This window comes from Homo sapiens, chromosome 6, assembly GCF_000001405.40.
Source record: "Homo sapiens chromosome 6, GRCh38.p14 Primary Assembly".
NCBI classification, from domain to species: Eukaryota; Metazoa; Chordata; class Mammalia; order Primates; family Hominidae; genus Homo; species Homo sapiens.
Genome location: NC_000006.12, coordinates 18,572,411 through 18,590,209, shown reverse-complemented (window position 1 = coordinate 18,590,209; position 17,799 = coordinate 18,572,411). Strand labels below are relative to the sequence as shown.

Below are 17,799 nucleotides of genomic sequence, written 5' to 3'. Positions count from 1 at the left end.
AAACCAGGAGAAAAAGATTTGGCATTCATCAACTTAAAGTCTAAGAAAGCAGTGCATGTGACTCACCAAGAGGTAGAAAAGCAGAGATATTTAGGAGTTCATGGGCCCAAATTTACTATGACAATTTTGAATGAAGAGCAGAGTTCACTCCAAAAATAAAAGGAAACAGCAAAACTGCACACTGCCGACTCAGTGATGCATTTTTAAAGTGCTAAAACTAGTGAAGGGAAAGTTTACAGCCTCAAAATCTTCTCCTTTATATTTGTTTATTTATTTACTTTTACTTCAAGACAGGATCTCACTCTGTCACCCAGGCTGGAGTGCAGTGGTGCGATCTCAGCTCCTGGGCTCAAGTGATCCTCCCACCTCAGCCTCTCGAGTAGCTGGGACTACAGATGTGCACGACCACAGCTGACTAATCTTTCTATTTTTGGTAGAGACAGGGTTTCACCATGTCACCCTGGCTGGTCTCGAACTTCTGGACTCAAACGATCCGCCTGCCTCAGCCTCCCAAAGTGCTGGGATTACAGGTGTGAGCCACTACGCCAGGCCAAAAATTTCTTTTTTAAACGGAGGCAAATATCAACTGAATTCAAAATGGCAATTTCAAACAAAAAATAAAAATAAAAAATATAATCCCCCGATCAAATGTAATTGATTAGGCAAAAGAAGATCGCTAAGGGGTAGGGCAGTCATGAAACCTATTAGCAGTGGGGAAATCTATTCCCATGGCAAACCCCTGGAGAGCAATAATATCTGGGGGGTAAAGAAGAGTGCAGAGCTTGAAGAGACAGAGAGAGATCTGTAATATATCTTCAGCCTTGAACCTGGGAGGCAGATGTTGCAGTGAACCGAGATCGTGACACTGCACTCCAGCCTGGGTGACAGAGACAGACTCCATCTAAAAAAAAACAAAACAAAAAACAAAAAAAACTGACTATGCTGGAGCCAGAGAGGTTCAAGGCAGTGAGAATAGAATCACATGGTCATCATCCATGGAGCTGTATAACAGAGCAACATAGCTACAGACACTGCACCTGAGCCCAGGAAGTATCATGCCAGAGGAACTCCAGAACTCCAGTTCTTATGGAGGAATCATTTTCTTAAGTTTATTAATTCTCCCTCTCCCTCTCTCTCTGCCTCTCATAGACACACATGCACACTCACATACACCCTGATCCCGTTTTCCCATTCCTCTGAGTAAATTCACTTTTCATTTCCATTCCCACATCTATGCCAAATGTGTTCTGATAATGACATTATACTCTAGTTAGTCATAATGTTCCTGCAAAATTAATTGATTAGTTCCTTAACAAACAGCTAGGTCCAGGGATTATGATGCATAGGACAGATCTGTTTTGATAAGGTGAGAAAAAGAGAAAAATAGGAAAATGTGCAGCTGTCAACACCTGTAATATCATTCCCTGCTTTTCCTAGCCCCTGTTCAGCTAATTCTCAAAGGCCTGATAGCTCTGGGTTTGATGCTGTTTGGGTCCTGAGCCAGCTCCAAAGAGGAGAAGCAGCTCATTAGGTGGCAGAGTAACCACTGGAGTCAGTCAGTCTACTGTAGACTATCCACCCAAACAAGTTTATCTTCCAAGATTTGATCCAGAATTGGAAAACAGTGATGTTTGTCTCTCTGAAATGTTATATTCCCACTTGTTCTGGGCCTACCCAAGAATGGAAATACAGAAAGCCTTCCCAGGCACAAAGATCCTTGCTCACACAATGGCTCAAAGCTTTCCCACATGAGGCTTTGAACCCATGTCTCTCTACCTTTCCTTCAGGGTATCTTCATATATCCTTTCCTACTCCACACGCACACCCTTCTCCTTGTAAGCCTCAATACTGAATAACCGTCTCTCAACTGCACATGTCCAGTTAGGCCTTTTCCTCCTTTTCCTCTGCCTCTGGCATGATATTTACTGGGCTCAGGTGCAGTGTCTGTAGCCATGTTGCTCTGCTATACAGCTCCATGGACGATGACCATGTGATTCTATTCTCACTGCCTTGAACCTCTCTGGCTCCAGCATAGTCAGTGTTTTGTTTTGTTTTGTTTTGTTTTGTTTTGTTTTGTTTCTTTGAGATGGAGTCTCTGTCACCCAGGCTGGAGTGCAGTGGTGCGATCTCGGCTCACTGCAACACCCGCCTCCCAGGTTCAAGTGATTCTCCTGCCTAAGCCTCCTGAGTATCTAGGACTACAGGCGCCCGCCAACACACCCGGCTAATTTTTGTATTTTTAGTAGAGACAGGGTTCCTTCATGTTGACCAGGATGGTCTCAATCTCCTGACCTCGTGATCTGCCCGCCTCAGCCTCCCAAAGTGCTGGGATTACAGGTATGAGCCACCACACCCAACCCATAGTCAGCTTTTGAACAATATTTTGCTTGTGCTGGTCCTTCTTTGGGGTTTGCCTCTAGACTCGTCAGTACTGGCCATAGGATTCACATGGACAAAATACGATCCTGTTTATCTGGCATTGGTAATACCAAATATGTCCTTACAGACTTGGAAATACCCTGGTCCTTGCCCCAAGAAGACCTAATCCTCGTACAGACACACCCTCCTTACTCTCTCCCTAAATGCCCCTCCCTCGTCTGCTTTACGAGGCCTCAAATCCCTTACTCAACACTACACTTCTCAATGAAAAGTGAGAGGAATGAATTCAAATATTCACAAGAATAGAAACCCATAGGCTGAAATTCACATGATGCCTCAGATCAGATTATCCTTTGAGAGCAGGTTGTAGAGAAAGTAAAGTGAGACAATGGAAGTCCTATGTGCTTAAAGAGTGGAATGGATAATTTGCATGGAATCAGAGTCACTCTTGCACTTGATCACAGACATCATCAGGGCAACAAGACCTACAGAAACAACCCCTATGCTGGCTTGGCCTCTTGTCTCAACTCTAAATTACTGTCACCTTGATAAGCCTCTGGGTCCCCATCTGTGAAATGAAGGCTTAGACAAGATGATCTCTAAGATCTTTTGCATTGTAAAAAGCCTGCAATTATGCTGATTTTTTTAGGGGAGGAGACAATATATTTGGATGGAGCCTTTGAAATCACTGTGGAGGGGAAAGGTACCATTTAGTACATAAAAGTACCCATTTATCTTATTTTATTTCTATTTATAAATGTATTTACTTTTGTTCTTTTATTAAAAGATACCCTATTAACATTTGCTGGAAGACACGAGAGTGGCTTTCAAATACCTGAAAGGCTCCCAAATGGATGCCCTCTTTCTCAAGATGAATTGTCCCGTATCACTCCATGAGACAAAACTAAAACTAATAGGTAGAAGACAGACTTAAGTTTAATATGGAAGAAATATTTTATTCATTTGGGGGATGGTCCAAATATAGAATCCATTGATTGATGGACTAATAGAATTACCAGGATCCATGTTTATCAGAAATATTTAAGCATGGGGTAGGCAAAGAGATCGTACTGATATGGTGGTCATGGGTGGTAGGGGCATAAATGGAGGTCTGGACTATATCTGTCAATCATGGGGATCTATGGTTTCATGAACATTTTACCCCCATAAACACATTGCTTTCCTCCAAGGAAATTCCTGAGAATGAGAGTGTTTGCCTCTGCAAGTATTATTTGATGACAGCTCTTGCACCAACTTTCTTGGATAGAGAATCCTTCCCAATGCTTCTCACTGCTGCCTACCTCAGCCAACAGCCTGTCCAACAGAAGGGCTTTTTAGCATTCAGATCAAAGCCTCCTGTGTGCAAAGTGCCCATTGTTCATTAGTGAAATGTGACTTGCACCTGCTTCGCGGAGGTGTACGGCTTTCACTGTGTCCCTCTCGGTTTCGGCAGGCTGTAGCAAAATCACAGGGCCAGTCACTTTGGTGACGAAGGAAGCCACGCTCTGCCAGTCAAAAGCTGGACCAGCTGTGCTGGTCCTGTGTGAACCAGGTGCCTACTGCTTCCCCAGGAACCTGCTGCCAAGTCTTGGCAGCGGGTGAACCAGCAGCTGCTCCTCCAGCTTCAGTCTTGTCTATTTCTCTCCTCCTTGGCCTGAGAATCCAAGCACAGTCCCCTGGGAGGTCTATTACAAAGAAGAGGAAAGAGAACTTTGAAAGAGGAAGATCCAAGGGCTATGATTAGATGGTTGACCAATGGCACAAAAAAGCAGAAAATGTAGTCGACATGAGAATAAGACAAATATCAACCAGTCTAAGGTTCCCATTTTGTGATCACATCATCCTCAAGATAGGAGAAATTCACAACAGAAAAACAGGGATCGCAGCAAGAAAAGAAATTGCTTGTTAATCATATCATTGATATTATTATTATTGAAGATCTAGACTCATAAATTTTAAATCCATGCCAACACTGATCCAAATAAAACCATCATGATGAAAACTACCAACCTCAGCTTAGAGGATCAGGCAGTGCCATTTGCCCTGCAAGATGCTTACTTTCAGGACTTCTCATGAATTCATACGGACAACTTCAGGAATAAGATTAGCGTTGGTTCCTATGTGTTTTCCTGGTTATAGATTCACTCCGTGTGATGACTCAAGAAACATTATCAGGCTATAACTAAATGTATGGATGTGGTTCTTAAATTGTATACTGTTTGTCTTTTTTCTAGAAAATATTTAAACACCACTAGGCTGCTCAATTGTCTATGCCCCTTAAGCCCCACTATCTCCTCATTGGATCTTAATGATGTTACTGAACTAGGTGGACCAGGAATGAACAACAAATTTGCCAAGTGAGTTACTTCCTCTCTCAAAAGGGCTCTTCCGTGCACATTGCCCTTGGAGAGGGGGTGAAGTGCTAGTTCCGGAGCAGTCAATCCCAAGTCAGGAGCAGGTGGGGGAGGGTGGAGGCGAGTGTAAAAGACACTGCTGTGTGGTGACTCATTCTTCCACTGACTTCATTTGCTTCTGTGTGTTCAGTCAGTTGGACAGCTGTGCTGGCCATGTGAAGTCAGAAAATTTTTTTGTTCCAATGACAGGAAGATGGGGGGAGATAAAGGGGGACAGATAAAACAGTGGGGGTGTGTGTGTGTGTGTAGAGCCGTAATTGCTACATGACTTCAGCTTCTCTGACTGGCTAACAGTCACCACATTAGTCACCAGCCCTCAAAGGGTGACACAAGCCTGGGTGGACTCAACATGAAGTGAGAGAGGCCTGGCATTTGCAGTCCAGGTTTGGGAAATGGCTCTCACTGTGTCCCAGGGAAGTGAGGGACAAATGTCTACAGTTAAAGAAAGTGATCTTTAAGCTGGAAAATGAGGAAAATCAGGCTATTTAAAAAATGCATAAAACAAGGACCTTGCTCTCAAAATGCCCACAGTTTAGGGGGAGGGACACCCCTGATTAGCCAGAAATATAAGCAATGCTCTGGGATTGCAGAGAGGGAGTAACTCTGGATCACTGGAGACTAGCAAACAATGTAAATGGAGTCCCAGCCCACCCATCCTTTCTAATGTCACTCGGCCGTTCCACCTTATCCTCTTCCTTATCTCTGATTGGCACTCACCCTCTCCCATTTTTTTGCAAAGACAAAGCCAAACCTCTGACACTCACTTCAAACCTTCAGCCCAGGTCTCAACCCTCTTATACAGGGGTCAACACACTTTGGCTTACAGGCTAAATTCAGCCCACCACCTGTTTTAAATAAAGTTTTATTAGAACACACCATTTGTTTAACGTATATGGCTGCTTTTATGCTATAACGAGAATAGTAAGTTGTGACAGAGACTCTAGGGCCCACAAAGCCTAAACTATTGGCTATCCAGCTTTTCAGAAAAATAGTTTGCTTACCCCTATTTTAGTGAATGGTAAAAAACAACATTTCTTACTTATGTGATGAGTTCCCTCAACATTTTGACCCAGCACCTATTAAAGTATATACCTGTTTCTGTAAACCAAGTAGATGAAGGTGCTTCCTCTCTCATTCAAGACCAATTCATCCATTCTGGCCCTTGGTGCCATTGCCTCTCCTTCTTTCCAGATGTTTTCTCTCATATCTTTAACCTAAAATCCGGGTTAATAACACTAAACACTCTCCTCTGGGATTCATCTTTACCCTGTTTTTACTATGTTCTCTCTGGATTAGAGCATCTCTTCTCTGACAGCATCATCAAATCAGTATCTCTGTGTTCTCCCCTACTGTCGTTTTTGACTTGCAGTTCCAATGATCTGCCAATCTCTGCACCTCGCTATCCTGTGGGAGCCACAAAAGTATCATGTCCAAAGCTAAACTCAACATGTTCCTCAGGAAAACTTCTCCCCCTTGGACCTCTCTGCCTCTGCTGCTGATAACACCAACCACCTAGAAATCTATTAGTCGGCTTTCCCTTCACATCATACATACAACAAGACAAAGATGCTTTTGAATCTACCCCACCCTCGGGGGTACATATCAGTACCATCAATTTCCCCGCCCTCCAGTAAATGTTCAATGCTCATTATCCCACCACCGGCCCTGGGCTGGCTCCCTCTTCTCTCACCTACACAACTGCAGTGGCCTCTTCTCCAGTGGACTGTCCTGCCTCCTGTCTCATTCTCCTCCAGTCCAGTCTCCCTACACTCACTTGAAGGCCACCATCCATGTAAATCAGACCATTCCTCATTCCTGTTTAAGATCCTTTACTTACTCTATATGCATGGCCTATAAAATAAGTTGTAAGTCCCTTAGCCAAAACTTCTCCATGGTGTGATCTTTAGCTCTCTTACCAGTCTTATCTCCTATATCCCTGCCCTAGGCCAGTAACCCAACCTAATCCCACCATGGTCCTTTTTTTTTTTTTTTTTTTTTTTTTTTTTGTGAGACAGAGTCTCACTCTGTCGCCCAAGCTGGAGTGCAGTGGCACTATCTGGACTCACTGCAACCTCCACCTCCTGGGTTCAAGCAAGTCTTGTGCCTCAGCCTCCCGAGTAGCTGGGATTACAGGTGAGTGCCACCATGCCCAGCTAATTTTTATATTTTTAGTAGAGACAGGGTTTCAGCATGTTGGCCAGCCTGGTCTTGAACTCCTGACTTCAGGTGATCCACCCGCCTTGGCCTCCCAAAGTGCTGGGATTACAGGTGTGAACCACCACATCCAGCCACCATGGTCCCTTTTTGAATCCACCAGTTCATAAAGACAAGACACAAATACCCATTGGGTTCTAGAGCTCTCTCTCTGGATGAACCCCAGCCCTCTTACCTGATCCATACCTGACTCTGCTCCAATCTCCTCTTCCCCTGGCTCTATGACTCCAACCTGATCCCACTTCAGGCCTTCTGAGTCTGGTGTCTAGAGTCTATCTTTCTGTTAAATCTAGACTTTCTTCTAACTGACTTTGACTTAGATTAATCCCCCAGTTCTTGGATTTTGTGTTTGCTTTGGGAATGAACATCCTACACTAATTCTTAGAAACCCTTACAATTCTATTCCACGTTGTAACTCAACCAACAGCCAAGGAAACCAGCCCCAGCACCCAGGAGTGAGGCCTTAAGACACCTCCAGTCCAAATACACACTCTCTCCATATCAAATTACCTGTATTTCCCTTACTTTCCCCATGGTCCCAGAGTCACTGGCAGTATGGCAGCTGCAGCATTTACTCCAAGATAACTTTGCCATGAACTATCTCACCTTTATTATTATTTTCACATCACTCTAGTATATTGACTTTGGCAACAAAAGACATCATTCTATTTACAGCATTCTGGTTTTAGTAGTAGTATTTCCATTACAAAATATAGTAATTTTCGATCGCTGAAAATGTCAACTCCTAGAAAACGTAACATTCCTACACGTGATGTTAACATCGTTCTCAAGCGGTCGTTGGCCGAATATTCATTTGATGAATCCGATTTTTCCGAAATAGACGATCCCAATGATTCAGACGATTCTGATGTTTGTTCTGTTTAGAAATAACTTTAAGAACAGTTTTTATATTTTATTTTTACATTGAAAATCAGTCAGATTTGCTTCAGCCTCAAAGAGTGTGTTTATGTAAAATTAAATGAGAGCTGGCAATGAGATGCACTATTTTTTTTCTAAGTGGAAGAAAGGGTTAATACCTCCATAGTATTTCATGCCCATGCTCTGTCTGAATTGATATTTTAACTCTTGTTCACCTGGCTAAATAATACTAGGTCTTCCATATTCATCTCAAGTGTCCCCTCACCCATATAACCTGTAGCTTTAGGAAGTGGGGAAGGCACTGAAGAGTTTCACTAATAAATCCAGTAGAAACTAGAGAACAGGCCAGGCCCAGTGGCTCATGCCTGTAATCCCAACAATTTGGGAGGCAGAGGTGGGTAGATCATTTGAGGTCAGGAGTTCAAGACCCGCCTGGCCAATATGGTGAAACCCTGTCTCTACTAAAAATACAAAAATTAGCCAGGCAGTAGTGGCATGCACCTGTAATCCCAGCTACTTGGGAGGCTGAGGCAGGAGAATAGCTTGAGCCTGGGAGGCAGAGGTTGTGGTAAGCTGAGATTGTGTCACTGCAGTCCGGTCTGGGTGAGAGAGTGAGACCAAGAAAAAGAAGAAAGAAAAAGAAAGAAAGAGAAAGAAAGAAAGAAAGAAAGAAAGAAAGAAAGAAAGAAAGAAAGAAAGAAAGAAAGAGAGAGAGAGAAGTGGGGGAGGGAGGGAGGGAGGAAGGAAGGAAGGAAACACCTTGAGGAGAGAAAAAGAGAATGAGAACAAAGAGAAAAATCATTACTATAGAATGAGGTATAAATTAGGTTAGGGCTTAAACTAAGATTTTCCCTGGCAATAGGATCCAAACCTTATAGTGATGGCATTACAACAAGAAAAAAATCCATGTAAATGAATACAGGATAGCTATAAGTTGCACATTTTCCAATTAGCTCTACCACAGGGGAAGATCTGGAAGGAAATTTGTGAGGTATTAGGAACACAGATGAAGAATGCAGAAACAAATTAAAAGAATAAGCCATCCATAAAGACTGTGTATTCAAGAGAGCTTTCAGATTCAGCTCGATGTTGTTTCTCTGGCTGACTTTGGTCTGGGCAGTGCTAAGTAAAAAGTCATGAAGCTCCATATCCTCACTATCTCATCTGGTTTTTTCAGTCATCATGGCTGTAAGAAAACCTCAAGTAACAGGAACCTGCACTGAGAAAAAATGGATGCTCAGGCTTAGGTTTCTGGCTCATAATAATCTAGGCAAACTGCTGCCCAGAGTGGCCCTCCCTCCCCTGACACCTGCTCTAAGTTGGGTTCAGGGATGGGAAAATGAGAAGAAAGAGATGAGTTAGAACCAAGAAGTCACATCTTCCCTAAACACTCTCCCTCAGAATGAGCTCACTGCCCCTTCTCAATGTTCCAAAAATATACTGTGATCACTCTGTGATAGCCTTTAGCACTTTTTCTTGGTAGTATCTGCTTATACACATATACACATCTCCTCCAAGTATGTTGTATTTTAGCAGTTTAGGAGCAGATAGGGTAGAATAGAGTGTGGTAATAAACTGAATTTCAGCAGCTTAGTGCAAGTTATTTTTCAATCATGCAAAATTGGATGCAAGTCGGTAGGAATTCCCTCCATCTGGCAATCCTAGGTCCAGGCTCCCTCCACACTGTGACACTGTCAGCTCAACACATCATTTCTGCAGTCACGGTGCCATGAGCGAGAGAGTGAGAAAGCAGCACCGTGGCTCTTAATACCTCTGCACAGGATTTGCATTCACATCATTGCATTCACATTTCATGCTAGAACTGGCTGCATGGCCTCATCTCCTGCAAGGGGCTGAGAGGCATAACCTTCCAGTGTGTTCAGGAAGGAGAGAAGAATTCAATATGGCTGAGCATAGGAAGTCTGCATCACTCCAGTCTCATTTGTCATTGTTACTCCAATACCTAAAAGAAAGGCAAGGATGTAGTAGCTACTGAATAAAAGTTTGTTGAACTGTGTTGACTCTGCCCAGCAAACTTAAGTGAAGTCTTCACAGAAAATGAGATCAGGAAGTGGAGAAAAGTCCTCTGTGAAATCTTAGCCCCAGGAAAGGAGCCTGAAATCAGAGAAAAACCAGGAGAGAGCATTGTTAAGGAATCCAAATGAATGAATTAAGAATAGTCAATAGCATTATGTGCCACAGAGGAGATAAATAAAAAGATGACTGAAAACAGGCCATCAGATTTCACAATTAGGTCATTAACGACTTTTCTCTGGTGCAGGCCAAATCTCATTATGGTGAGTTTTAAGAGGGTATCTAAATCATTTCAGTGAGTTGGAGTTTCATAATATGAATGTTGCTCAAAACAGATGGCTGTTTGAGATTTGTGGATGTTTAGTTACTCTGAGATTTTTTTTAACCCTAATAAAATTTCTCTCCATGAAAGAGTAATAATAGTAGTTATCATTCATCCCAGACTTCCTATGTGCCCAGTACTCTGCTAAGTGCTTTGCTCACATTATTGGTAATATTAAATAACACTTCTGCAGAGAAGGTATTGTCAAATTCTGGGCTCATGTTTAGTATATACTGCAGTGAAGATTGGGACCCCATTCTTCTTGGTTCCAAAGTGTATTCTCTTTCAACTATAGCACAGTCTTGTTCCTCAAAACATGCAGTGATTAAAGCTGTGGATAGTAGATCTGGGGCTCTTCTTAAAGAGTCAGATAACAAGATGTCAAGGTGAAAGGGCTGTCTCATGTTGAATCAGACCATCCTTTTCTCTTGAGCTGTGGAATCCTTTCATACCAAGCCATAGCTATTGTTATAGATGTTCTCAATTATCATTCTGAAATTTTCCTCATTAAAGACATAAATTACACAATGCATAGCCACACTTTCTTCAGTTCTTCCCCGTATGGCTTACTTTTCACCATCTCAGCCTTCCTTTTGCTTATGTAAGCAATAATTTGGTAGCTATAAATTATCTTTGATGTTGCCTAATCCTCAAGTGTTTTCTGTTTCACACAAAATTGTGAACAGTGTGCTTTATTGAATAATTACATTTTCAAAGTAAATTAACAACAAAATAAAATGTATATTACAAATTTTGTAAGAAAAACAGCGTCTAGTATATGTTGGCTTGATTGCAATTGGATTGAGAGAATATCTTTGGAAAATCTTCTTCGGGTCTGTGGGAAACTAGAAAAGAAGACTTGGAAATGCTTTGCCCACACCAGTAAGCAAACAATTCAATCTTAGTTCATCTAAAGGTCCCAGAGAAAATAATTCTTATTCTCACCCTTGGATAGTGTAGTCCTACAGTTGTGTGGTGCTTGATTGTTTAACCATCCTGAAATTACCAGGCAAATGGCCTTTTTTAATTCGTAGCTGCTACTGAATCCCTCCCTGGCTGGCTTATCTGGAACAATTCTTATATGAACACAGTGCTTCATATACTTTTTGTATATAAAGTCCATACATGACTTTTTGTTTTATTTAAAAATTCAGGCCAAGTGTGCTGGCTCGTGCCTGTAATCCCAGCACTTAGGGAGGCCGAGGTGGGCGGATCACTTGAGGTCAGGAGTTCGAGTCCAGCCTGGCCAACATGGCAAAACCCCCTCCTTTACTAAACATACAAAAATTAGCCGAGCAAGGTAGCATGTGCCTGTAGTCCCAGATACTTGGTAGGCTGAGGCATGAGAATCACTTGAACCTGGGAGGCAAATGTTGCAGTAAGCTGAGATTGCACTCTGCACTCCAGCCTGGGCAACAGAGTGAGACTCTTGTCAAAACAAACAAACAAACAAAAAAAACCAGACGAGGGATATTGAGACATATATATACCTTAATCCATCAAATGAATCAAGTGAGAAGCTTATGCAGCTTAACATTTATAATTTCATTGCAATTTTTATTCTAACCTTCACCAGGAATTTCAAGTTTATATATTACTTTCTCGGAGCCTGAAAATTAAATTATTATTAAAAGTAAGACTAATTTCATGTGGATCTTTAAAGACGAGTGTTAGAAAATAAATATTAAGCAGAATGAAATATTATAGTTGTGTTTCATTTATTAATTTACCAAATATTTATTGAATGAACACATGAAGTGACCAGAGTACTGAGTTGGGTGCCATGAAAAGATATCCCTTATCCTCAGTGCATTGTAATACAGTAGAAAAATGAAACTAAGTGAATGGATTTGCACTTAAAAATGGAAAGAAATATATCAACAGATGCAAAATAACATACAATTCTACTTCAAACTTCTGCACACTATTCAACATCCAATTTACAGGATAAATAAATTCAAATACCTCATAATAAATAGTATGCTATAACTAAGAGATTCATTGCAGATTTTCTTTAAGCAACAAAGTCTGCTTATACATATTTCTACTATAATTCTCTGGAAGCTTGATCTCTCACTCTCTTCCACACATTTTTTTTCTTTACATTGCTGACCCTTACCCCAGTCCTAGCCCCTTATTTTGGTGAACAGACTTAACCTTTACATCACAGAGAAAATAGAAACTGTCTTCCTTCATCTAATCAGCTTTTCCTACTTCCTTTTGTCCAATGAAGGAGGCATGTCATTGCCAATCAAGGTTTGGCCCTTTCAGATATATGCTGGGGCTTACTCCCTTCACTGCTTTCAGACTTTGCCCCTTGGATTTTCCCCTTCTTTGCTTTGGGACTTAAATCTACTGCCTTAATTCTCACTGCCAGTTTCACTGACATTTCCCCAGCCGTTGCTTGGTTGGCGGGAGTTCCTCCTCTAATCATTTCCTCAAAATGGGCTGACATGAATAATGTCTCCTGTGTTCTTGCACATTGAAATCTGTTTTTCTAGAATCTTTCAGATGTAAAAGATATTTTAACCACATATAAAATCTTTGGCTCATTCTTTAAAAAAAAAAATCTTCTAAGGGTAGATTCATATCTTTAAAGAAGTCCGACTCCTGCCCAACTTCATCCCATCATAAGTGACTTGATATTTTTACAGGCTCATTCAAAATATTCATTCTTTATTCTAATCATTTTAGGATTTGTCTTGACTTCTCTAGAGCAATTTTCTGGTCCATTATAAGCTCTTTAAATACGTAGATTCATGCCTTATTTTATATTTGAAAAGTTTTCTTGAATTGTATTTTTAAATATTGTATTTTTAAATATTTGTTCTGTTTTTTTGTTTCGGTTTTCTCTTGGTAGACTCTATGTGAATGTATTTGATCTCCTTTGCTCGTACTTTATTCCTATAATTTTGACTCTAATCCTCTTTATCTCTGTATTTCTCGTTCATTTCATGTCTACCTCCTTTGTCCCTCACTGTACTTTCAATGGTGTCTACTCTTCCTTGTGCTGAATCTAATTTATTAGTCTTTACTTCTGAAATAATTTTGATTTGTACTTTTATTTCTTTCATGGTTTCTACCAAATCCCATTTTACCTTCTCCTTTAATTTGTTCCTCATTTTCTGTTGTCCAGCCCTGAGTCCTCATATTTCTGCTTTGTATACTTTCATTAAAATAACTGTTATTGTATGGCAATTCCTCAAAGACCTAGAACCAAAAATACTATTTGACCCAGCAATCCCATTACTAGGTATATACCCAAAGGAATATAAATCATTTTATTATAAAGATACATGCACACATATGTTCACTGCCACACTAGTCACAATAGCAAAGACACGTAATCCACCCAAATGCTCATCAATGATAGACTGGATCAAGAAAATGTGGTACATATACACCATGGAATACTATACAGCCATAAAAAGGAATGAGATCATGTTCTTTGCAGGGACATGGATGAAGCTGAAAGCCATTATCGTCAGCAAACTAACACAGGGACAGAAAACCAAACACTGCATGTTCTCACTTATAAGTGGGAGCTGAACAATGAGAACACATGGACACAAGGAGAGGAACAACACACACTGGGGCCTGTCTGTGGGGCGGGTTGGGGAGAGAGCATCAGGATAAATAGTTAATGCATGTGGGGCTTAATACCTAGGTGATGGGTTGACAGGTGCAGAAAACCACTATGGCACACATTTACCTATGTAACAAACCTGCATGTCCTGCACAGGTATCCCGGAACTTAAAATTAAATTACATTTAATTTAATTTAAAAATAATAATAACAGTTATTACTCCATTAAGTTTTTTATTTTTAATTCATGGGATGTTAAGTTACAAGTTTTATCTGCATCTTGGCAATAGCTTTCTGGTGCATTTCGTTCTTCTATAGGAACGTTTTTCTATTGTTTTCCACAATTTAATAGATCTCTGTATAAATGCTATGCCAGCTCTTTTTTGTTTACTCATATTTGAATGAGTTTTATTTTCCTTAACCAGCTAGACAAAGAATTCTAGTGCACAGAAGGGAAGGACTGAGGACATCCAGTGTTCTAAGCTTCACAGATAATGGGCATCCTCCTCTGTTACAACAGACTATTTCCTTTAAAAATGATGCCTCTGTGCAACCACATTTTCTTTGCCTTTAATGCTCAAAAGAACAAAGCTGGAGGAATCACATTAGCTGACTTCAAATTATACTACACACCTATAGTCACCAAAACAGCATATACTGGCATAAAAACACAGAGACCAATGGAACAGAATAGAGAACCCAGAATCAAATCCACACACCTACAGTGAACTCATTTTGGACAAAGGTGCCAAGAACATATACACTGGGGAGAAAACAGTCTCTTCATGAAATGATGCTGGGAAAGCTGAATATCTACATGTAGAAGAATAAACACTAGACCCCTATCTCTCGCTGTGAACAAAAATCAAATCAAAGTGGATTAAGGACTTAAAACTAAGGCCTCAGACTATGAAACCACTACAAAAAAAATTTGAGGAAAATCTCCAGGACATTAGTTTGGTTGCACAGGCAACCAAAGCAAAAATGGTCAAATGGGATTACATCAAGTTAAAAAGCTTCTGCACAGCAAAGGAAACAATCAACAAAGTGAAAAGCCAACCCAAAGGATGGGAGAAAATATTTGCAAACTGCTCTATAGTTTAGAGCTCAAACAATTCTATAGGAAAAAAAATCTAATAATCCCATCCAAAAATAGGCAAAAGATTTGAATAGACATTCCTCAAAAGAAGACATACAAATGGCAAACAGGCATATGAAAAAGTGCTCAACATCATTGACCATCAGAGAAATGCAAAACAAAACTACAATGAGATGTCATCTCACCCCAGTTAAAATGGCTTATATCCAAAAGGCAGGCAATAACAAATGCTGGTGGAATGTGGAGAAAAGAAAACACTTGTACGCTGTTGATGGGAATATAAATTAGTCAAACCACTATGGAGAACAGTTTAGAGGTTCTTCAGAAAACCAAAAATTGAGCTACCATATAATCCAGCAATCCCACTGCTGAATATATACCCAAAAGAAAGGAAATCAGTATATCGAAGAGATATCTGCACTCCCATGTTTCTTGCAGTACTGTCCACAATAGCCAAGATTTGGAAGCAACGTGTGTTCATCAATGGATGAATGGATAAAGAAAATATGGTACATATACACAATGGAGTACTGTTTAGCCATGAAAAAGAATGAGATCCTGTCATTTGCCACAACATGGATGGAACTGGAGATCATTATGTTAAGTGAAATAAACCAGGCACAGAAAGACAAACATCGCATGTTCTCACTTATTTGTGGGCTCTAACAGTCAGAACAGTTGAACTCATGGACATAGAAAGTAGAAGGATGGTTACCAGAGGTTGGTAAGGGTAGTGGGTGGTTGAGAGGGAAGTAGATATGGTTAATGGGTACAAAAAAATAGGAAGAATGAATAAGACCTACTATTTTACAGCACAAAAGGGTAACTATAGTCAATAGTAACTACATTTTACTTATTTATTTTATTATTATTATACTTTAAGTTTTAGGGTACATGTGCACAATATGCAGGTTAGTTACATATGTATACATGTGCCATGTTGGTGTGCTGCACCCATTAACTCATCATTTAGCATTAGATATATCTCCTAATGCTATCCCTCCCCCCTCCCCCCACCCCACAACAGTCCCCAGAGTGTGATGTTCCCCTTCCAATAACTAAAAGAGTATAATTGGATTGTTCGTAACACAAAGCATAAATGCTTCAGTAGATGAATACCCCATTCTCCATGATGTGATTATTACACATTGCATGCCTGTATCAAAATATTTCATGTACCCCATAAATACATACTCCTACTATATACCCATAAGAATTAAAAATTGGAAATTTTTTAAAAGACAGAAAAAATTTTAAAAGGCTCAGAATGGCTTCTTCCCATGTGACATCACAGTATCTTTATAAGCCACTGCCACCTGGAACACATCTCTTACCTTCCACGGGAGTATCCTCACTTTTTGTTGATCTATTTTCACTTGTACTTTTTATACTCTGCCACCCGTGCGGTCCCAGGCCTTTGCCATCTCCCTTTGGTGGCCCACTCTGTTCCAGTTCATCTGGGGTGAGCTGCGTCCCAGTTTGCCCAGGTTTGGGGAGGTTCCTAGGACATAGGACTTTCAGTGCTAAAACCAGTAAAGTTCCAGGCAACTAGGAAGAGTTGGTCACTCTGATTTCATCTCTGTTCACGGGAGCTGCCACCCCAGATGGGGCCCTCTGCTCTGGAAGTGAACACTGCTGTGTTTTCTGAGACTCCCACCACAGCTGCTGCATCCTCACCTCCTTTCCATTGTCCATCACCATTTACCATGCAGCTTTTTGCCAGCCTCCATTGGCCTCAGGTGTTTGGGGCAGCATGTACACATAATTTGTAGTTCGAGAATATTCTGGGTCTCCTAGTTTCACTGAAAATGGAATTTGTAGATATTTAAAATTTGATTTATTGTTCTGTATAATTTCCAAGAGGAGAAGTGGCACAATTCAGACTAGGCCACTACCACGTTTCCTTGGAGCTCAAGAGATGTGTTCAGTTGTCTTCATGGAGTTCCAGTTTAAAGAGCTCCACTTCTGTTATAATTGACTTTCTTAACCAAGTAAACTCTGCAGTTATGATTATGGTGCTCAGAATAAGCAGACCATGTATGTAATACCCCATAGAGAATGATGAACCAACAAGATGTATTTCAGGCTGTGTATGTTGCACGATACAAAAGCACATGAAGATACACAAAAACACAAGAGCACATTATAAGCCTCAAGTACTATATCAATATAAAGTACTAATATTAATACTATAGGAATATTGATAACTAAAAAATCAGAATGAAAAATAAATAACAGCCTGTATATGGTGCAAATGGAATACAACACTAGGTTTAGAATAGTCCCCCTCTGAATACAAAATTTCTGTTTCTTGATTATAGCCAAATTCATGAAGATAAGTGTAAGAAATAGTCAGAGTAAATGCTCCTCTATGCAAGTCGTTGTGGGAGATGCTGTTGCATGGGTTATTTTATATGATCCTAACAACTCTTCAAGGTAAGTATAATGAGTGTCAAAAAAGTGAAAATACTCAAGATCATGCATCAAGTAAATGCCAGAAGTAGGATGCAAACCCTGAGCATCTCTGGGACCAACACCAATACTCTTCTTGCTACACCACTCCATCTCTTTTCAATCAAAGAAAGGAATTACAAGAAGCTCCATGCATGGAAGAGAAACCTTGAGGGAGATAATAACTTAAAACAGGCAGAGTGGAGCAGACAATCATTGAATTCGAACCAGCTGTGGCAAAAACTCAAGTGTAAATAGTATAACTGCAGCAGGAACACAGAGGGAGCAAGAAAGTCAGCAACTATATTTATTAAGATTTTTAATGCAATTGCTTCAAGAAGCTGGAGAGACATTTAAGACTCCAACAACCTCGTGCATCTGGTTTCCTCTCTCGACAGGAGCCCATTTTGACGAAGTGGGA

General features: G+C 40.5%; 1 long non-coding RNA gene across 1 annotated transcript in view, besides 1 other annotated feature; it reads right to left on the bottom strand.

The window, feature by feature from the left end:
* MIR548A1HG (MIR548A1 host gene) overlaps positions 1–17,799 on the bottom strand; it is a 200,152-nt gene that overhangs the window by 132,689 nt on the left and 49,664 nt on the right. The window lies entirely within an intron of this gene.
* Positions 4,452–5,651: an enhancer, noted in NCBI's record as "CDK7 strongly-dependent group 2 enhancer chr6:18584790-18585989 (GRCh37/hg19 assembly coordinates)". NCBI's record gives its function as "activates an origin of replication core promoter dependent on BRD2, BRD4, P300/CBP, MED14 and CDK7 cofactors, with strong dependence on CDK7, by STARR-seq in HCT116 cells {active_cell/tissue: HCT116}" and the evidence as "EXISTENCE:reporter gene assay evidence [ECO:0000049][PMID:35650434]".